The sequence below is a fragment of the Homo sapiens genome, chromosome 2, assembly GCF_000001405.40.
Source record: "Homo sapiens chromosome 2, GRCh38.p14 Primary Assembly".
Classification (NCBI taxonomy): Eukaryota; Metazoa; Chordata; class Mammalia; order Primates; family Hominidae; genus Homo; species Homo sapiens.
The window spans coordinates 86089812-86111815 of NC_000002.12; the positions used below are offsets into that span (position 1 = coordinate 86089812).

The 22004-nt window shown below is 41.4% G+C and overlaps 2 protein-coding genes and 1 long non-coding RNA gene across 3 annotated transcripts in view, besides 3 other annotated features; 2 read left to right on the top strand and 1 right to left on the bottom strand.

Moving 5' to 3' along the window:
- POLR1A (RNA polymerase I subunit A) overlaps positions 1-16075 on the bottom strand; it is an 85671-nt gene extending 69596 nt beyond the window's left edge. The window contains exons 1-4 of the mRNA NM_015425.6: positions 15889-16075; positions 10157-10361; positions 8800-8949; positions 11-118 (exon numbers count right to left, since the gene is read on the bottom strand). Of these exons, the coding sequence (NP_056240.2) occupies positions 11-118; positions 8800-8949; positions 10157-10361; positions 15889-15965 (540 nt within the window). The 5' untranslated portion in view covers positions 15966-16075. The remainder of the gene's footprint in view (positions 1-10; positions 119-8799; positions 8950-10156; positions 10362-15888) is intronic.
- LOC124907852 (uncharacterized) lies at positions 9912-11510 on the top strand. Its single transcript, XR_007087121.1, has 2 exons — positions 9912-9986; positions 11394-11510. It is a non-coding gene; the product is annotated as an uncharacterized LOC124907852 (long non-coding RNA).
- Positions 15595-15684: an enhancer, noted in NCBI's record as "active region_16152". NCBI's record gives its function as "activates an Ori minimal core promoter by ATAC-STARR-seq in GM12878 lymphoblastoid cells {active_cell/tissue: GM12878}" and the evidence as "EXISTENCE:reporter gene assay evidence [ECO:0000049][PMID:35858748]".
- Positions 15885-16094: an enhancer, noted in NCBI's record as "active region_16153". NCBI's record gives its function as "activates an Ori minimal core promoter by ATAC-STARR-seq in GM12878 lymphoblastoid cells {active_cell/tissue: GM12878}" and the evidence as "EXISTENCE:reporter gene assay evidence [ECO:0000049][PMID:35858748]".
- PTCD3 (pentatricopeptide repeat domain 3) overlaps positions 16424-22004 on the top strand; it is a 35923-nt gene continuing 30342 nt past the window's right edge. Inside the window, exons 1-4 of the mRNA NM_017952.6 lie at positions 16424-16540; positions 18539-18591; positions 18689-18725; positions 21302-21347. Of these exons, the coding sequence (NP_060422.4) occupies positions 16437-16540; positions 18539-18591; positions 18689-18725; positions 21302-21347 (240 nt within the window). The 5' untranslated portion in view covers positions 16424-16436. The remainder of the gene's footprint in view (positions 16541-18538; positions 18592-18688; positions 18726-21301; positions 21348-22004) is intronic.
- Positions 16475-16734: an enhancer, noted in NCBI's record as "active region_16154". NCBI's record gives its function as "activates an Ori minimal core promoter by ATAC-STARR-seq in GM12878 lymphoblastoid cells {active_cell/tissue: GM12878}" and the evidence as "EXISTENCE:reporter gene assay evidence [ECO:0000049][PMID:35858748]".

Here is a 22004-nt window from a genome sequence, read left to right on the forward strand (position 1 = left end):
GTTAACTCACATGTGCGCCCTGGGACCCCAGGAGGTTGTTCTGCACAATTTCAGTTGTGTATTGTTCTAATTCCTCCCGAATTTCAGAGGCAGAGGGATCGGGATTTTCTTCCAGAAACTGGAAAACAAAGAGGAAAACTCCATTATCACAGTAATGTACACCTCTGATGAGCAGCACAACTGGGACCAACCTCTCCAAGGGTGGAAAAGATTCATTTGAAGGGAGAAAAAGAAACTATGGCTACTGTGTTGCACTTTCAAAAGAGTGAGACAGCATCGCTGTTGAAAAAAATCAAACAAGGTCAGGCGTGGTGGCTCACACCTGTAATCCCAGCACTTTGGGAGGCAGAGGCAGGCGGATCACTAGAGCTCAGGAGTTTGAGACCAGCCTGAGCAACATGGTGAAATCCTGTCTCTACCAAAAGTACAAAAACTTAGCCAGGTGTGGTGGCATCCACTTGTGGTCCCAGCTACTTGGTAGGATGATGTGAGGAGATCGCTGGGAGGGGAATGTTGCAGTGAGCCAAGATTGCACCACTGCACTCCAGCCTGGGTACAGAGCCAGACACCATCTCAAAAAAAAAAAAAAAAAAAAAATCAAATGAGAACATCCTACGTCCAATAATGGTGGGCTAGATTCCCCAGACCAAACCTAAGACTGCAAAGAGCCAAGATAGGTTAAAATATTTTTAAAACCTTAATGTTCTGAAGAGCCGACAGGACAGTGAGGAATAAATAACCAGAGCAAACTAAAGGGGAACTAGGAATCTAGCAAGATGAAAGAGCATGCAGCCACATGCGCTGATGCAGGGCTTTGGTGCTGTGCTGAAGCAGGACATCACTTGGTATACTCATGTGCCCCAGGGAATATGCCTATGATGCTCCCCAGGAGCCCTGGCCTTGAGTGCATTTTCCAATGCAGCAATTTTGAACTTTTTATTCACAAACTCTCAAATGATGTAGGAAACAGAAATGAAAGTCTTAACCTAAGCTGGGCACAGTGGTGCCTCTGTAGTCCCAGCTACTCCAGATGCTGAGGCAGGGGCTCGCTTGAGCCCAGGTGTTTGAGGCTGCAGTGCGCTATGATCGTACCTGTGAATTGCCACTGCACTACTCCACTGCTTGCCTAAGCCACACAGTGAGATCCTGCCTTTAAAAAGAACAAATTTAAAAACCTAAAGCTTTTTTAGTATAAGGTTAGAAATCTAACAGGAAGCCATCATTCTTCACCCCCCAACACATAAACATAGTAAGCCGGAACACAAAGGACTATACTCTCAGGAACTACCAGCCCTTGTACAATCACTCAGGCCATCCAGGGAGCTTTAAGCGTTGAACCTGGATAATGACAGTCCCAAGTTGGCATCAGTGCCATGCACACAGCAGAAGCAATGAGAATCTTCTCTGGAGAAGGCAGCGTCATCCTAGCCCTCAAATTATTCCCATAAATAATTTTTATTTTTACATTTATTTTTATAATTATTAGAAAACTAGAGATAGCATCTTGTTATGTTGCCCAGGCTGCTCTTTAACTCCTGGGCCCAAGCAATCCTCCCACCTCAGCCTCCCAAAGTGCTAGGATTACAGGCATTATCCACTGTGTCCAGCCCCAACAAAGAATTTTTAAAGGTCAATGACAGACAAACTGTCAAAAATAAATACACAAGGGGACAGGGAAAGGAGGGAGGGTTTTTGGGGACATAAACAATATGCTGACATTGAACTGGACTGTAAGGGTGATAGTTACTTTGTATTGGACTGTACATATAATTAATGCATTTCTGTATATATTTTACAAAAAAAAGTTTAAGGTATAATAGTAGGCACCATGAATAATTTTATGCCAATAAATCTGAAACTTTAAATGAAATGGGGAAATTCCTAGAAACATGTAACTTACTGTGAGCGCTGGTTTAAGAAAATCCTTTCTTTCTCTCTCTCAATCTGTCTTTCGGACAAATTTGACCATGAGTTAACTTTTTAGCTCTGTTCCCTCATAAATGCAATAAAAGTAGAAATAGGCCGGGCACGGTGGCTCACACCTGTAATCCCAGCACTTTGTGAGGCCAAGGCAGGCAGATCACCTGAGGTCAGGAGTCCAAGACCAGCCTGGCCAACATGGTGACACCCCATCTCTACTAAAAATACAAAAAATTAGCTGGGCATGGTGGCGTTTGCCTGTAGTCCCAGCTACTCAAGGAGGCCGAGGCAGGAGAATCGCTTTAGCCTGGGAGGCAGAGGTTGCAGTGAGCCAAGACTGTGCCACTGCACTCCAGCCTGGGTAACAGAGCAAGACTCTGTCTCAAAAAATAAATAAATAAAAATAAATAAATAAAAGTGGAAATGTCAGTTGTGTTATTAGGCAACACTACTGATGGTAAAAATGACCCCAATTGGTTAGGCTACATCTGGACTGGAAAGACTACAGCTCTGAGCTTCCCTGGGTCCTAGCTGGGCATATCCTACGGTCCCTGGAAGCACAGCCCATGGAACTGTTAGAAACGATATTGATTCCTTTCTGGGAGATGGGGCCTCTAGGCCAGGGGGGCTCCCATAGCCGCTGATGTGATCTCGTTCCTTTGCGTTTGAGCAGTCGTCTGTCATGTGGGGAGCCAAAGACAACTAGTCCCTGTGAGGACACCTGCTGAAGAGAAATGTGTGACACTGCCCTGCTGGCATACTATGTCTCCAATCTCCTCCAGGGCGTTTTAAAGAGAGAATTATCTAACTCGGCTGGGCACAGTGGCTCATGCCTGTAATCCCAGCACTTTGGGAGGCCAAGGTGGGTGGATCACTTGAGGCCAGGATTTCAAGACCAGCCTGGCCAACATGGTGAAACCCTGTCTCTACTAAAAATACAAAAATTAGCTGGGCGTGGTAGCATATGCCTATAATCCCAGCTACTTGGGAAGCTGAGGCACCAGAATCACTTGAACCCGGGAGGTGGAGGCTGCAGCGAGCCAAGATTGTGCTGCTGCACTCCAGCTTGGGCAACAGAGTGAGACTCTCTCTCAAAAAAAAAGAAAGAATTATGTTACTTATTTTATGAGGCTGACATAATCTAGATACCAAAACCCAAAAAGACAATAGGAGAAAGGAAATGTAAACCAATCTCACTCATGATTACAGAGGCAAAAATCCCAAGTAAAATATTAAGAAATCAAATCCAACAACATATTAAAAAGGTAATATATCATAAACAATTTGGGTTTATCCCAGGAATCCCAGGTTAATTTAACATTAGGAAAGGAATGGAGTCATTCACCATGTTAGCTGGTTTAAAAGGAGCCAAATTATCTGAAAATTTCAGTATATATTGAAAAGGTATTTGATAAAATGTAATATTTAGCCACCACAGCAAAATAGGAATACAAAGGAGCTTCCTTAATCCGATTAAAAGCTCAGTAAACACCATACTTAATAGTGAAATGTCGAAAGGGTTCCCTATTTTAAGGGTATAATTTATTTATATTTTGAAACAATCTCAAATTTATAGAAAAATTCCAAGTATTTCCAGAAATCTATCTTTCTTGAACCATTTGACAGTACACTGCTGATCTGATATACCAACAACCCCAAATACTTTGGTGAACATTTTCTATAAACATGGACACTCACAAATATGACCGTGATACGATCATCAAAAAATGGTAACTTAGCACTGATAAATTATTACCTTCTAATCCTCAAACAACATTCAAATTTTGCCAACTCCTTTAATAATATCCTTTACAGGCTGGGAGTGATGGCTCATGCCTGTAATCCCAGCACTCTGGGAGGCTGAGCCAGGTGGATCGCTTGAGGTCAGGAGTTCAAGGCCAGCCCGGCCAAAACAGCAAAACCCCATCTTGACTAAAAAAATACAAAAATTAGCCGGGTGTGGTGGTGCATGCCTGTAGTTCCAGCTACTCGTGAGGCTGAGGTGGGAGATCGCTTGAACCCCGGAGGCAGAGGTTGCAGAGAGCCGAGATAGTGCCACTGTACTCTAACTTGGATAACAGGGCCAGACTCTGTCTCAAAATAATACTAATGTCCTTTACAGCAAAAGTATCCAGTTTAGAGCCATCTGTTACACTTTTTAGTCTCCTTTGTTTAGAATAGTTCCTTAGTCTTTAACTTTAGTCATTAGCAGTTTTGAAGATTAAAGGCAAGTTTTATAGAATATCCCTCGATTGCGGGCATGTCTGATGTTTCCTCATGATCAGATTCGGCTAACACATCTTTGGCAGGAATATCCAGAAGCGATGTTGTGTTCTTTCAACTGGTCCCATCAGGTATGCTTCACTTTGATCACTTGAATAAAGGGGTGACTGCCAGGCAAGAAGTCTTTTCCATGGTAAAGTTATTCTCTCTCTCTGACCTTTGTAATTAAAAAAGACTATGTGTGTGTATGGGAGGGAGGGTACTTTGAAAGTGCGTTAGTAGCCTGTTAAACTTTCAGTCACTCAATTCATTCTTTCATTTATATCAACATAAAAGTAGGTTCATGGATTCCTACTTTATTCAATGGGTTATAATCACTTAGTATCATCATTTATTATGATGCTCAAACTGTCCTAGATTTGGCCAGTGTGGGCCCTTCACACAGGCTTTTGTGCCCTTTGGACATGTCCAATCGTTCTTTGAGCACATACTTCCTTTCTGGCATGTGACATTCCAGGCTGGTCTTGTACTTTCTCTGTCCCAGCTCTAGATCAGCTATTTCTCCAAGAAGCTTTTTTAGTGGAGAATGGTATTTAGAAAACAAGAAGGGGGTGCTAGGTGCTATCACTCCTCTGAGCCCTTTCAGGGACAGGGCCAGGGGAAAATACATGTGTACACACACTTTACACCCGAACTTTTAATTCCATTTTAACAATACAGGATTAATTCTGTCTTCTCTCTTTCATATATTTGTAACTCTCTTCTCTGATAGTTAAAACCTGGCCCCCATTATCCTTAAGTATGTATTCGATCAATTAAGTACTTATTCATCAACATCTCTCTCTCTCCCCGTATGTAACCACTCTCCCACCACTGCCACTGTCATCCCCTCCTCGGTGTGGAGCCCTCACCCAAATTGGGCTCAAGCTCCACATGAGCCCACCCTCCTTGTGGACCCCTCCTTATCATATTTGGGCTCATACATCCCATGCTGGGTCACCCTGCACAGGCACCCTCTCACCTGATTTGGGCTCTCACACTCTAAGCTGTGCCTTTATCTCCAAATGAACATCCTCCTTACCCTATTCGAGCTCTGGTATTCCGCACAGGGCTGCCCACATGTGCAGGGATCCCCTCTCACTCTGCTCTGGCTGAGTCCCTGTGCAGGGACACCCTTCCCACGAAGCTTTGCTCACTCTGCTGTGGCTCAGACACCACATACTAGGCCATGTCTCTTTGGGGAATCCCAGCTTGCTCTGCCCACCTAATGTCTTCGGGACTGAAGCATCCAAGAAGAGGGAGGAGAAGAGGAAAGGGGAACAACTTTTCTATGTGACAAGAAATAAGACAAAGATACCCACTACCACTTCAACACAGTAATGTAGATCCTAGCCATCAAAAGAAAACATACAAGGCTTGGAAAGGAACAAAAAGGCCAGTATTTGCAGATAGGATTGTATTGAAAATCTAAAAATATCTACAGATAAACTGTCAGAATTGATGAGACAATTTTGCCACGTTGCTTCAAAAATAATCAATAACATTTTTACATATCAACAAACAAAATGAAATTTTAAATAAGGTATTTTTAATAGCACCAGAAATTCTAATGTAAATATTAACTATGAAAAAGTATCTCTTTACAATAGAGATCTGGTCATCCCCACTTTATCCAAAAGTAACCAGCCAGAGAAATTAGGCAAGAGAAAGAAAAGGCATCCAAACTGAAAAGAAGGATGTAAAAATGTCCCTGTTTACAGATTACATATTCTTTTCTTTTTTTTTTTTTTTGAGATGGAGTCTTGCTCTGTTACCCAGGCTGGAGTGCAGTGGCGCGATCTTGGCTCACTGCAAGCTCTGCCTCCTGGGTTCACGCCATTCTCCTGCCTCAGCCTCCGGAGTAGCTGGGACTACAGGCGCCTGCCACCACCCCCAGCTAATTTTTTTGTATTTTTAGTAGAGATGGGGTTTCTTCGTGTTAGCTAGGATGGTCTCGATCTCCTGACCTTGTGATCCACCTGCCTCGGCCTCCCAAAGTGCTGGGATTACAGGTGTGAGCCACTGCACCCAGCCGACATAATCTCATATATAGAAAAACCTAGACTCTACCAAAAACCTCTTAGAACTCATAAACAAACTCAGTAAAGTTGCAGGATAAAAAAAATCAGTAGCACTTTTATACACAAACAATGAATTAGCTGAAAAAGAAATCAAGAAGGCAATCCCGTTTATAATAGCTACCAAAAAAATACCTAGGAATAAATTTAACCAAGGATGTGAAAGACTCTTGGAAAACTGCAAAACAGTGACGAAAGAAACTGGAGAGGATACAAATGGAAAAACATCCCATACTTATAGATCAGAATAATTAATATTGTTAAAATTACTACACTACCCAAAGCAATTTACAGATTCAGTACAATCCCTATCAAAATACCAATGACATTCTTTGCAGAAACAGAAAAAAAAAAATTGTAACATTTGTATAGAACCATAAAAGACCCTGAATGGCCAAAGCAATCTTGAGTAAAAAGAACAAAGCTGGAGGCATCACACTACCAGAATTCAAAATATACTACAAAGCTGTAGTAACCAAAACAGTAGGATACTGGCATGAAAACAGAAACAAAGGCCAATGAAAACAGGGAACCCAAAAATTAATCTGCATATCTACAGCCAACTGATTTTTGCAAAAGGTGCCAAGAACATACACTGGGGAAAAGGACAGTGCCTTTAATAAATGATGCTGGGAAAACTAGATATCCATATGCAGAAGAATGAAACTAGATCTCCACTGCTCCCCTCTACAAAAGTCAACTCAAAATTGATCAATGACCTAAATATAAGGTCTGGAAAAATATTTTATGAATCAGACCTCAAAGCACAGGCAACAAAAGCCAAAATAAACAAATGAGATTTTATCAAACTAAGCTTCTGCACAACAAAGTAGTCAGTCAACAGAGTGAAAAGACAACCTACGGAATAGGAGAAAATATTTGCAAACTATTCATCTTAGGGACAGAGGCTTAATATCCAGAATATGTAAGGAACTCAAACATCTCAACAGCAAAAATCCCAAACAATTCGATTAAAAAATGGGCAAATGATCTGAACAAACATTTCTCAAAACACATACAAATGGCCAACAAATATATGAAAAAATGTTCAACATCACTAGTCATTGAGAAAACACAAAAACACAAATCAAAACCACAATAAGGTTTCATCTCATCCCATTAGGATGGCTATCCCCAAAAGACAAAAAAAAAAAAAAAAAAAAAAAAAAAAGCAAATGCTGGTGAGGATGTGGAGAAAAGGGAACTCTTATACACTGTTGGTGGGAATGTAAACTAGTATAGCCACTACGGGAAACATATGAAGGTTCCTCAAATAACTACAAATACAACTTCCATATGATCCAGCATCCCACTATTAGGCATTTATCCAAAGGAAAAGAAATTGGTATATCAAAGAGATACCTGCACCCCCATGGTTATTGCAGCACTATTCACAATAGCCAAGATATGGAACCAACCTAGATGTCCAACAATAGATAAAGGGATAAAGCAAATGTGGTATATATACATAATGGAATACTATTTGGCCATAATAAAGCATGAAATCCTGTCATTTGCAACAACATAGATGGAACTGGAGGACATTACGTGAAATAAGCCAGGAACAGAAAGTTAAACACTGCAAGTTCCTACTCATATGTGGAAGCCAAAAATAAAGTTGATCTCATAGAAGTAAAAGTAGAATAGAGAATACTAGAGGCTGAGTAGGGTAGGGAAAGGAGGGGAACAGGAAGAGATTTGTTAAAGGAGATAAAATTACAATTAGACAGGAGGAATAAATTCTAGTGTTCTACACCATTATAGGATGACCATAGCTAACAATAATATAGTTTCAAACAGCTAGAAGGAGAATATTGCATGTTCGCAACACAAAGAAATGATAAATGTTTGAGAGAACTGATATGCTAATTATCCTGATCTGATCACTATACACTGTCTGTATCACACCATCACTATGTACCCCATAAAATATGTGTAAATATTATGTGTTAATACAAAAAAAGACCAAAAAAACCAAATACAAGAAGTAAACAAAGTAAGCATTACCAATAGGTGAACAACCTGACATATGCCTCCTAAAATGATGCAATACAAAGTACCCTGTATCATGTAGGTTGTATTCTTGCCAAAATGTGAATCTAATTACAAGAAATAATCGGACAATCTAAAATGTAAGAAATCCTATAAGACAACTGGCTTTGAGTCTCCAAAAAAGTTGGTATCATGAAAAAGAATTTTCTACATTACAATGTTCTACTTTAAGACAGATCAAAGAGATGTAACAATCAAAAGCAATGTCTTTTGATTGAATAAACCTTGATTGAATCCTTGGTCCAGAAAATCAGCAAAAGCTCATAAATGGATTAAATGGTATTTCACTATTGTTTCTATGAACATTTCTTTTATTATTCTTATAGCTTCCTGTTTTCACACTCAGCTATTGGTATCCAGTTATAAGATATAAAGATCAAACGTTCTGATGACTATCGGCATGGTAACTAGGACAACATACAAGCATCTCTTGTTCCCCACACCACTTTGCCTTTTCTGATTTCTGTGACCACCACTACCCACCTACCCTGTTCAGAATTCTCTCAAGCTCGTAGACTGCTTGTAGGGCCCCGACTTCCAGAACCCTCAGCTGGCAGAGTAAGAGGTGAATCACGGCCCGGGGACAAGTCAGCATGTGGCAGTTTAAACAAGAGCCCCGAAGCAGCAGGTACAGCTTCTGAAGAGAGGGAATAAAAACAAACAGGATATTAGAAAGAGACACAGTAGCCATGGTGATTTTCGGTATACTCACAAGTTTCTTTATGTAGTCAGTCTATTCCTTTAAAAACTCTACTTCAGCCTACATGCTTAGAAAGGCCTTTGTTATCTTAAGAACCAGATAAATATTACCCTCTATTTTCTTTTAAGGTTTTATTTTAATCCATTTAGATTTGAAATTTACTTTGGGCGTACAACCTGAGGTAGAAAAATATCTTTATTTTATTCCAAGATTTAATTAAGAGACTTCTCAGCCAGGTGCGGTGGCTCATGCCCGTAATCCCAGCATTTTGGGAGGCCAAGGTGGGCAGATCACTTGAGGCCAGTTACTTGAGGCCAGGAGTTTGAGACCAGCCTGGCCAACATGATGAACCTGTCTCCCGTAATTTTTGTAAAAATACAAAAATTAGCTGGGCATGGTGGTGCGTGCCTGTAATCCCAGCTACTAGGGAGGCTGAGGCACAAGAATCACTTGAATCCAGGAGGCAGAGGTTACAGTGAGCCAAGATCGTGCCACTGCACTCCAGCCTGGGAGACGGAATGAGACACTGTCTTAAAAAAAAAAAAAAAAGACACTTCTCTTTAACACGATTAACAGACAAAAATCATGTCCATGTATACCAACATATGTGTAGCTTAAAAAAAAAAATCCTGGAGGTGAGGTTAGCTGAAATAAAAAGCTGAAAATGTACCAGCATGACTCTAAACAGGAGCTTCATTCTGACCTCACTGTTGGGCTTTCTGGGGCTTTGCTTCTCCTGCCACCACACAAGTGCCTATAGAGACACCTGAAGGGCTCAGGGAGACCCTGAGAACACTGAAGTTCTCTCTATTACCAGGCAGGTGCCACTGAGATTTCTGAAGAGCACAAAGCCCCTGCAACAAAAGGTGTAGGGAATGAATCTGAACTCTCCCCGACCCTCCACGCAAACGGAATCAGGCTGTGGCTCTATTCAACTGGAATCAAACTGATATTCATTTATTTAGGGCCACAGGGTAAGTTGAAGTTATTGTATTTGGCTCAAAACTTCAAAATCTCATTCTACAGAATGCTTTCATTGGAGTGCCTGGGGCTTAACCTCCTTAGACCACTCTTGTGGGAGAGAGGCAGCACTCACAAATCCCACCAGCAGCCCGGAGACCCACACAACTAAGGCAGCACTTACATCGAAGAGGAGAGGGTTATACACTGTGAGTGGGAGCTCAATGTGGCCCAGGTGCCCAGAACAGTTGCTGAAGTCCTGCACGCAGGTGGAGCACACCTCTTTGGAATCTGCAGGGCCCAAAGCTAAATCGTACAGGCCGTTTGCCGATGGGTTCCCCAGGCTGTCCAGGTATCGAGGGTTCGTAATGGATTTAACACTTAATTTCCTAAGGGGATAAAAAAGACCAAGAGGAAAGCTAAAGTTACCAACCTCTCTGATGTTTCCTTTCCAGCACAAACCTATAGTTAAGTGATTATTTAATGCCTGCTTGATAGCTCTGGAGGGCACAATCTGTCTTTCTCACTAGTGTACCCCAACACTAAGTGCAGAGTTGGTACCCAATAGTTAATAAATACATATGTGCTAAATGAATAAGTCATAAAATACATATGTGCTAAATGAATGAGTGGTAACTTCTTAAAAACAGATTTAGAACAAAACTTGCACTAAGTACACTGGTAAACTGTTCATAAAAAGGAGTTAAGCATCTACTATACACTGACTGCTTCACAGGCAGCATTATTCTGTCTTTTTTTTTTTTTTTTTAACAAGGTCTCACTCCTGTTGCCCAGGCTAGAGTGTAGTGGTGCAACCTCGACTCACTGCAGCCTCAAACTCCTGGGCTCCAGTGATCCTCCCACCTCAGCCTCCCGAGTAGCTGGGACCACAGATGTGTGTCAATATGCCCAAACAATTTTTCGATTAATATTTTTTTGTAGAGACAGGATTTAGCCATGTTACCCAGGCTGGTCTTGAACTCCTGAGCTCTAGAGATCCGCCTGCCTCAGCCTCCCAAAGTGCTGGGATTACAGGAGTAAGCCACCATGCCTGGCCGCATTATTTAGTCCTGATCTTAATCCTCTGAAATACTCATCACTACATGTACTTTTCAGAGGACGAAACCAAGGCTCAGGGAAGTTAGGTGATTGAATCCAGGTGACACAAATACAAACAGAATGTGGGGGAGGCAGGATATGGAATAGACTTAACTCCAAAGCCCACCCAGTTCAATGAAGGGAATGTGATGCAACAATCCCTGTATGCAGAAATAGTAAATTTGACAACATTAAACACATTTAGTCAAACCTTAAAAAAGGTTTCATCACATTTTATGTTTGGTTTGAAAGGTGCTCCCATAGGACACAACTATGTTTAGTAGGCTAACTTTGCTTTTACAATTTTCTCCTTTCTGATTTAGAAAATAAAGACAAAGAAACCATCCCAATCTGACAGCCTAGAGGAAATCCGAAGGCTGAAACGAGAGTCCCCTAATGATGTAAACACTCCCTTTAATAAAGCACAAAAATAGTGTCAAGTTTTCATGAGTGGTGACATGTTCTGAGTGTAAAACAATGTTAGTCTATCAGGAACTAAGCTGCTCAGCTCTAGAAGATTCTATGTTGCATGGCCAGTGTCACTCTAAGGGCCAAGGCGACAGGGAGGCAGATCTGCTGCTGTGGCTCTTGTCTATATGGTCACCTTGCTGCCAGTAAGCTAATTTCATGAGAAACTTGATCTAACTCAAAAGTTGTGCGTGTGGTCTCTTCCCACAAATCTAGAGTCCACCTGCAACCCTGAACTGGGTAACATTGAACAAATTACTTACCTTTTGTTCTTTAATCTTAATTTTTGAAACTGTAATAAAATATATATAAATTCATCATAACTGTTTCAATTAGTACAGTTCAGTGGTATTAAGTACATTTGCATTGTGCTACCATCACCACTCTCCATCTGCAGAACCCTTTTTCATCTTGTAAAATTGAAACCCTGTACCCATTATACAGTAATTCTTCATCTCCTCTGCTACCATCATTTTACTTTCTGTTTTGATTAATCTGACTACTCTAGGTACCTTATATTAAGTGGAATCACACCGTACTTGTCCTTTTGTGACTGGCTTATTTCACTTAGCACCGTGCCCTCAAGGTTCATCCATGTTATAGGATGTGTTGAACTTTTTTCCTTTTTTAGGGCTGAACAATATCCCATTGCATGTATATACCACATTTTATGTATCAACCCATCCATTGATAGACACTTGGGTAGTTTCCACTTTTTCACTATTGTGAATAATGCTGCTATGAACATAGGTATACAAATATCTCTTTGAGACCCTACTTTCAATTCCTTGGATACACATCCAGAAGTAGAATTGCTGGATCACATGGTAATTTTGTCTTTAGTTTTTTGAGAATCCACCCTACTGTTTTCCATAGTGGTTGCACCATTTTACATTCACACTAATGGTGTACAAAAAGCTTCCACTTTCTCCACACCCTTGCCAACACTTACTACTTTCTGTTTTTCTGATAGTAGCACCCTACTGGATTTGAGGAGCTTTTTATTTGCATTTCCCTAAAATTGGTGATGTTCAACATCTTTTCACATACTCACTGGCCATCTGTATGTCTTCTTTGGAAAAATGTCTGTTTAAGTCCTTTGTCCATTTTAAAATTGAATTTTGTGTTGTTGTTGAGTTGTAGGAGTTCTTTTTATGTTCTAGATATCAATCTCTCATCAGATATATAATTTACAAATATTTTCCCCCATTCCATGGGTTGCCCTTTCACTCTGCTGACTGTATCCTTTGATAACTACCTAATTTTTTTCTCACCTGAAGTCTGGGCATCACAGCAGCTCTATTGGGATGATTAGAAGATAACATACAGAAAATACAGTGTCAAACAAAGTTCCTCTCTCTTTGTAGAGGAGAAAGTCCCTCCCACCATTACAGGAGTGGGATGAAGAGTAGGGGCAACTAGCAAGGATTCCACCAGTCAGTAGAGTTTGAGATCAATAGACTTAGGTTTGAAGATGACCTTTGCCACTTCCTAGAGAGACATTTTGTTCTCTGGGCCTGAATTTTTTACTGGAGGTGCCACCACAAATGGTGTTGTTAAGAACTGAGAATGGGTGTCGTTAAGGACTGAAAGTGCCAAGCACTGAGCAGCTAGCTCCTCTATCCATCTATTCATACACTCAACAAATACCCAGAGTGCTCACTGTGTGCCAGACAGTGTTAAGTGCTAAGGAAACAGACAAGAACTGCTATGCTTACAGGCCTTACATTCTATTGGAGGAACGGGAACAGACACAAAATGTATAGTCTGTTAGACGGCAGAAAGGGCTATGACGAAAAATAATGCAGGGAAAGGGAAGAGCAGAGTAGGCAAGTGGTCCTAGAAGCCCACTAAGGAGGAACTTGGGCAAAGGCTGAAGGAGTTGAGGGAGCAGGCCATACAGTCACCTGGGCAGAGGGTTTTACAGGAGGAAGAAGCAGGGAGTGCAAAGGTCCTGAGGTGGATGTGTGCCCGTGGTGCTCTGGATGCAGCAAGGAGGTCAGGGTAGCCAGAATAGAGGTGAGATCAGAGAGGTAACAGGAGACTGAAATGACCCCTCCAGGCCATTTGTAAAGACTTGGTTTTTACTCTGAGTGAGATGGGAAGCTATTAGAACCTGGCACAATAAAAGGTGGCAGTATTATTGAAATGTCTCAACTCTAAACTTGTTTGAAAACTCCACAATTATCTTTTTAAAAATTCAGGCAACTTAAAACACTTCTGCTTTTGGATGAAATCGTATCCACTTATGGCAGTGATGATATAATTGGAATTTCTGGGCTAGCACACTGTTACCAATGATACCAGAGCTGTGGCTCAGGAGTTTATTCATCCATTTATTCAGACTTGAGGATAAAAGACAAGAGTGACACATATAAGAAGCTCAAGGATAGTGGAGGAAGACAAATATACATAAGCACAAAAAGTCACTAAAGCACCATGACAGACAACTGTATCATGTGCAAAATGACCTCACAAAACAAGGGAGGTGAACTGAGCTTTCAGGTGTGTATGTTGGGTAGGGGACAGAGGGAAGTACCTCCTTTTGGCTGAAAGGACACTGCATGCAGAGGGAATAGCTTAAAGAAAGGCCCAGATGTTGAAATATGATGGCGGTTTCTGGAATATGCAGGTGGTTTAATAGGGCTGAAGAAGGGATGATGTTATAGCTAAAATCAGCATTGGTCTGATCATGGGAGACTTTGCAGGCTATGCTAAGAAAATATACTTTATCTGAGGGAAATGGAGAACATTTGGAGGGTTTTAAGGGTGACAGTAGCATGACTACATTTGCACTTTGCAAGAATAATTTTGACAGCAGTGTGGAGCATGCACTTGAGAGGTGTAAGGGGAGGGTGGAAGGAAAAGACAATTCAAATATGAGATAAGGGCCAGAGGCAACACAGTAGCAATTGGGAGAAAAAGGAGACTAAGAACAAATAGACATGTAGGTGACACAAAGTAAGAGCCCAATAAATAAGTTATATGTCAGGAGAGATCTAGAATAATTTTCCAGTTTCTAGTGACTATTTTGCACTACGTACACCATTTTGGAGGGGTAAGTAACCCCTCCCTTTGAAGAGGGATGCCGTGTTGAGTTTTTTTTTTTTTTTTTTTGAGACAGAGTATTGCTCTGTCGCCAGGCTGGAGTGCAGTGGCACAATCTCGGCTCACTGCAACCTCCGCCTCCTGGGTTCAAGCGATTCTCCTGCCTCAGCCTCCCGAGTAACTGGGACTACAGGTGCCCGCCACCACGCCCAGCTAATTTTTGTATTTTTAGTAGAGACGGGGTTTCACCATGTTGGCCAGGGATGGTCTCGATCTCCCGACCTCGTGATCCGCCGGCCTCGGCCTCCCAAAGTGCTGGGATTACAGGCGTGAGCCACCGTGCCCGGCCATGTTGAGTTTCTGATATGCATTTAGGCCATGTTGAGTTTTTGATATGCATTTAAGATCTCTGTGTGAAATTCAATTAAAGATGTACAGACAGCTGAACAAATGGGTCTGAAAATCAGGGAAATAAATTTGCGTTGGGGATTTAAATTTGAGACTATAAATCATGAAAGTGGTGAGATTGTCTAGGGACAATATTTACCATGAAGAAAACATTACTAGAATAGAATCTTGAAGAACATCAACATTTAAGGAGTAAAATGAGGTACAGACCTTGCTCACCAATGTGTCATTAACGCCTAGCTTGGTGCCTGGAAAAAACTGGATGCTCAATAAATGTTTGTGAGGTTATAGATCGATAGAGGAAGAGAGGGAGGTAGAAGTATTTGTCATAAAAATAGGAGAACTTGAAGACAAATAAGGTTCTGGAAGAAAGGAAAGTTTCAAGAGAGTGCATTGGAGAATGTCAAATGCTACCTTGATCAAAATGAAGACTAAAGAGAGTTCCCTTGATTTAACAACCAGACCGAGAATATAGCAGGGTCCTAGCAAAGAGAAGTTAACGCCTGAACTGACACTTGAAGGACAATCATTTTACAAACAAGAGGAAACTTACTACGTGCCTAATTAACCATGTCAGGTACACTATGGTTAATTCCACAAATGCTTGTTAGTTAACGAGGAGACTGGCAGATGATAACGCTGCAGACCAGGACCCTCCCCACCCTTATATTCCCCTACCTCAGCGCAAACTCTTTCCCCCAGCACCACCGGCCTCTTATCCAGGCAGTCCACGCCGGCCCAGGAACGTTCCCAGAACTACGGCTCCCAGCAGGACAAGCGCCAGACAAGCCTGGACTCAAGAGGATAGACTGGGCAAAAGCGCTTCTGGGAATCGTAGTTTAGGGCGCCGACCTCAAGATCCAGGCTGGGCACGCTACCCGACCAACTCCTTACTTGAGCTCTTCAGCCGAATACATCCCGAAGGAAATGCCCTGCAGCCGCCGCCAGGGCATGTTCTTGGAGATCAACATCCTCCAGGTCCGTTTTGAATTCCGACACCCCAAGAGACGTTCCACTCACCACCTGACTATTCTTAATTCAACCTCAAGCCCGGAGTCACCACGCGATTCAACGTGCGCTTGCGCGCGGAAGCGGTCGCAGGAACGACATTTACGTGGATGAGATCACTTCTACATGGGGGGGGAACAAATAGTTGTACGACTCTCTGCTCGCTCTTTTGTTTTGAAAACAATCAAAGATATATAAGACATCAAAATAATCATTTAGGAAAATTCCTCCGAGGCAAATCGGGTGTATAGAGCTTTTAGCTTCCGTGACGAAGTCTTTCAAACCATGAGCTTGCAACCTCCCATTTTATGATTGCTTTCGTCTTCTTCCGCTTCAGCCAATAGCGGAGCTGTTCCCTGCTCCCCGCCCACTGCGCCCCACCTTCCTGAAGGTCGAGGCACGCTTTCCCAACATGCTCTGCAGAGAAATCAAAGATGGCGGTTGTATCTGCTGTTCGCTGGCTGGGCCTCCGCAGCAGGCTTGGCCAGCCGCTGACGGGTCGGCGGGCGGGTTTGTGTGAACAGGCACGCAGCTGCAGGTAAGAGACGCTTAGGGTATCCGCGAAGAAGACCGCGGAGTCACCTTAGTCCTATGTTTCCCAGCTGGCTGTGGAAGTAGGCACGATGAAATGGTTTGCTCATGCGCGCCCTTAACGGTCGCGTGCCCTTAAGACCAGGTACGCGGAGGTGGCCCTTTGAAATAGGATTCGCAACGCATTTATTCATTAGAGAAATACTTATTGGTTGCTTGCAATATTCTGTAGTTAACACCATCCGCAAAGCTAGGACCCTGCTCTCATGAAGCTTGCGTTCCAGTGAGTGTGGCTATTAGCAACACTACCCCAAATTAAAAATTATCCGCCATTACTCATTTTAACCCAATCAGGAGGAGCGAGGAGAACGTACAAGATCTTCCCAAATAAAAGGCAGTCTCTGGTCGCCACCGTGGGGACTTTGGCTAAAGAAGTTATCAGGTTTTCGTAAAAGCAGAAAAGTCTAAAAGATCTGACTATGCCCTTTTGATCTGTGATAGTTATAGCTTGGAACATGTATGACCTATCTGTGTAATTTTTTTTTCACTCAGTACAAACAGTGGCATTGTGGGAATATGAGAGGCAGTAATTTGTAGTGAAAACTTGCTAAAAGCCTAATTTTAGGTTTAGTGTTTGCCATTCACTTAATTGGATGATAATAGACAGATTTCCTCATCTGCAGACTAGAGTTGGTAATAACCATCCGAAAAGTTTGTGAGGTATAAGTGGGGTATGTAATTTACAATATGTTTTTATATGTACTCTCCCTTAGTTCCCCTCAAGAAAGAGAAACCACTCCATCTGATACTGCAGAAACCTTTGTGCTGCCATTCAATGCCAGTCCTCCGTTTCCTGGTAGCCATCGTTAGCATTTTTCTACTCATTTTCTTTGCCTGAAGCAGAATCTCTTCCTCAGCATCCGTTCTCAAAATAACTGTGATCTCTGTTTTAAGGTCATGAGAAACAAATAGTGTGACTTGAAAGAGTTGATCTCAGAAACTTGAAAGAGTTGATCTCTTTCTGAAATGTCCTTAACGTAGAGGGGTATTCTTGTTTTAAATGATACCTGAAACCAGATACTACTGGAGGAAGTATCTGTCTGTGCAATCACATCTTGACAATTTTCTGAATGTTACTGATGCCATTTAGTAAGGGGAAACACAAGATAATACTAACCGTCACATTATCTGTGGTGTGTTGACTGTGTTTTTAGTGTGATCAGAACACTTAAACAGAACACTTAAAAACTCAGTCATGGGCCAATGATTCTATATTTTGGTTTAAAAAGGATTTCATATTGAACCTCTGAAAATAGAAAATATCAGCAATTCCAAGTCTAAATCAGGCCTTATGTATTTGGTACATTCTTGATTGTTGAAAGAAGTGGAATGAGAAGCCATGGGTCATCTTCCCTATGTTGTAATTGCTTTAAGTGAGGTAGTCCTTTCTGATCAGGGCAGTATCTGTATAGAAGCAAGAGCTCACTGAATTGTTCTTTTAAACATCATAGTGTTTTGGGTTCCTGAAGTTGAAAGTTCTTCATTTCAAACCAGATTGTTCAAGTGCTATTAAAAACTTTCCTCCCTCTCTGCCATTTATGTAATGAGATTGCTTGCTTCCAAAACTTTTGTCTAGCCGGGCATGGTGGCATATGCCTGTAGTCCTAGTTACTCAGGAGGCTGAAGCAGGAGGGTCACTTGAGCCCAGGAGTTCAAGGGTTCAGTGAGCTATAATTGCACTACTTCACTAAAGGCTAGGCAATGGAGCAAGACCCTGTCTCTAAAAAAAAAAAAAAAAAAGTTTTGACAGTCTTGTCCATATCTTGTATCCATTCCTTAATGATATTGAACATGTGTACAGACTGTCTTCTCAGCGTTCATTGACATGAGTTATCCAGTTTAATCCGTGATAATTGGAGAATTTGGGCTCAAAGTACACATAGGTGGAGGTGAGCTGGGTACTTCATTAATGACTATTAGATTTAAGGCTTTTGTTTTTTTGCAGATTTTATTCTGGTAGTGCAACCCTCTCAAAGGTTGAAGGAACTGATGTAACAGGTATATTTTAAAATATATTGAATTCTATTTTTATATCAACACGTTGGATTCCATTGTAGTACTAGGAAACTGATTCATGTTTTCTTTTTTACATTAGGGATTGAAGAAGTAGTAATTCCAAAAAAGAAAACTTGGTAAGTATTCTATCAGTGTTCATTCAGCAAATGGTTGAGTGCTTACTATGAGAGAAGTGTAAGGGTTAGGTAAGGAGACAGTGACAGGAAGAGCAATAGGAGAGCATTCTTGAAGAGAGTAGCTGAGCGGGGAGAAGCTAGGAGTTTAAAGGACAAAAAATGGAAAGGTGGAGAATAGTGAGTGAATGAGCAATGAGATTTACTTAAAAGAACAATTGAAAGAGATTTTGAATTAGTGTGGGTTACTATTTACGTGGTTAATAATACATGGTTATACATGAACATCATCATTAGAATAATTTTTTTCAAGGAAGTTCTCTCATATGATTCAAGAGCAGACAGTTACTGTCTTTATTATCTCTAATGAGGTAAAAATAAAGTAAATGGTGTGGACAGCAAAATTTAGCTTTTTTATTCACTGGATATATCCTTGAACAAATTGCCTCATCTCATTTATTCAACATTTGTTGAATATGCAGGAATTAAAACTTCACAAAAGTGCTTGTTACAGTGTAGTCCTATTGAACGCATTTAGTGGCCCCTCAAAAAGCTAGGTCTTAAAATTATGTGACCTAAAGACTCGGGTTCGCCAGGCGCGGTGGCTTACGCCTGTAATCCCAGCACTTTGGGAGGCCGAGGCGGGCGGATGATGAGGTCAGGAGATTGAGACCATCCTGGCTAACACGGTGAAACCCCGTCTCTACTAAAAATACAAAAAAATTAGCCGGATGTGGTGGGGGGTCGCCTGTAGTCCCAGCTACTCGGGAGGCTGAGGCAGGAGAATGGCGTGAACCCGGGAGACGGAGCTTGCAGTGAGCCGAGGTCGCGCCACTGCACTCCAGCCTGGGCGACAGAGCAAGACTCCATCTCAAAAAAAAAAAAAGACTTGGGTTCATTTAAAAAGACTTTTTTAAGAACTTTATTAATCTGAACTGTGTGATTATTTTAGGGAGGCCAGGGAGCCCAGTGATGTCAATGCATAGGTAACTGGGATCATAAAAGAAGTGCAAATTAAAACTTACCGTATTGGCAGAGAGAGGATTTGAAGAAATACGTTTGTTTATGGGACAGTAAATTGGAACAGCTCTTTGGAGGGAAATTTGGCAGAATCAGAATTGGAAATGTGCGTACCTTACTGGTTAGCCACTTTGGAGGAACATTTGCATATATACATGGACAAGACTGTTCTTTATTACTTGGGAATAGTAACAGGTTGAAACAGCCTGAATGCCCATTGAAAAGTGAATGGATAATTTTAAAAGGTTATCATACAATAACTTTTTACATTGAAAGGAATTAATTAGCTCTATATTTAATAACATGGATAGTGCAGCCAAACTTATGTAGACACATGCAGAATGACAGTGTGTATACGTTTTTTAGGGAGATGTTTATGTGTGAAAATACCTTTAAAAGTTCTGGAAATACAAATACCAAATTCATCGTGGAGAGGGGTCACAAGATGACACCAGACACTTTAGGTTAACGTGTAATGTTCTAGTTTATTTTTTTAAGATAATGTATGATACCTTTTAAAGTAACCCTTTAAAGAAAGAGAATTAGTGAGTAATCTGAATGTCATCATTTTTTCACTGCCATTTGTTCAATATGTTAGGAAAGTTTGCTAACTTGATAAGACTTAAATAGGGCAATAAAAGATCTGCTGAAGGAATGCTGACAGATGAGAGAATGTGTCGTTATCACACTTGCTGAAATTACATAAATGTGACTTCTAAACGTGGATAGAAAATTTAGTGGATATTATGTACATCAGGGAATTAGTTTTGATGAAATATAAAATTTCCTGTACTTTTGTTTTTCTCAGATGACTTATAGTCTTAAGAATGTTATGTTAAACTTTATTTAGAAAAATACTCTTGGTATAATTCCCTTTTGGAAAGGAAACACATTAAATCTAACATAGGAGCACAAATATATTTGAGATCAAATTATCTTGTCTGTCATTTATTCCAGTGAAGCCTTTTCTAATAGTTCAGTAAAGGTCTCTACTCAGAGGTGCAGTGGACAGCTGGCCTGCAATTCTTACCATAACGTTATATATGGTTGAGAGGTTCTAAACCAGGAGGTTGCATCAGAATTATCTGGGAATTCAGTAAGAGTGTGTGTGACAGTCCTCCATGGATCTTGGGAGGCTTTGATGCAATAGGTCCAGAGTGAAGCCTGTGGTTTATTCTCCTATAACTGAATCAAGAGCTACCAATTAGGATAGTAAAGGCAACAGTAGTCCCGAAAGCTGCAGTAAGAATCCATAGGAAAGTGGGTAGAGGAAGTAGGCCAGATAGTTTTATGAGGGCGGGATGGAAATCACTAGCCCTGGGTTATGGCATTATGCACCAGGCCAGAGAGGACAGGCAAAGAGAGGAACATGTACCAACTAGGGGAAAGAACCAGCAGTTTTCTTAATTTCTAATTTATTCTAGTGACCTTGTGACATAACCAGCTTCAGATGAGATCTGCACTATGTTATTGGCCAGTACACTGAGAGTAGAATCACTTGTTCGGTTTGTGGCTATGAAGAGCCCTGATGAGGATTAACTTGTGGTTCTTATTTTTAGGGATAAAGTAGCCGTTCTTCAGGCACTTGCATCCACAGTAAACAGGGTAAGTAGGATTTTGTGTTTTTTTTTAACCTAAAACTTGGCTAATAACACACTTTTTAACTCGGCTAATAACACATTTAATACTCATACCTCGTCATTACTCAGAATTAAACTGTTGTGCGTCTAGAAAGTTTCTTTAAAATTGTCTAGGCCGGGCGCGGTGGCTCACGCCTGTAATCCCAGCACTTTGGGAGGCCGAGGCAGGTGGATCACAAGGTCAGGAGATCGAGACCATCCTGGCTAACACAGTGAAACCCCGTCTCTACTGAAAATATAAAAAATTAGCCAGGCGTGGTGGCAGGCACCTGTAATCCCAGCTACTTGGGAGGCTGAGGCAGGAGAATGGCGTGAACCCAGGAGGCAGAGCTTGCAGTGAGGAGAGATCGCGCCACTGCACTCCAGCCTGGGCGAAAGAGCGAGACTCTGTCTCAAAAAAAAAAAAATTGTCTAATCCAGCTGAGCCAGGTGGCTCATGAATGTGATCCCAACACTTTTGGAGGCCAAAGTAGGAAGACCACTTGACATCAGGAGTTCAAAACCAGCTTGGGCAATGTAGCAAGACCCCCATCTGTTTTTTGTTTGTTTGTTTGTTTTGTTTTGTTTGAGACAGAGTTTTGCTCTTGTTGCCTTAGGCTGCAGTGCAATGGCGCGATCTCGG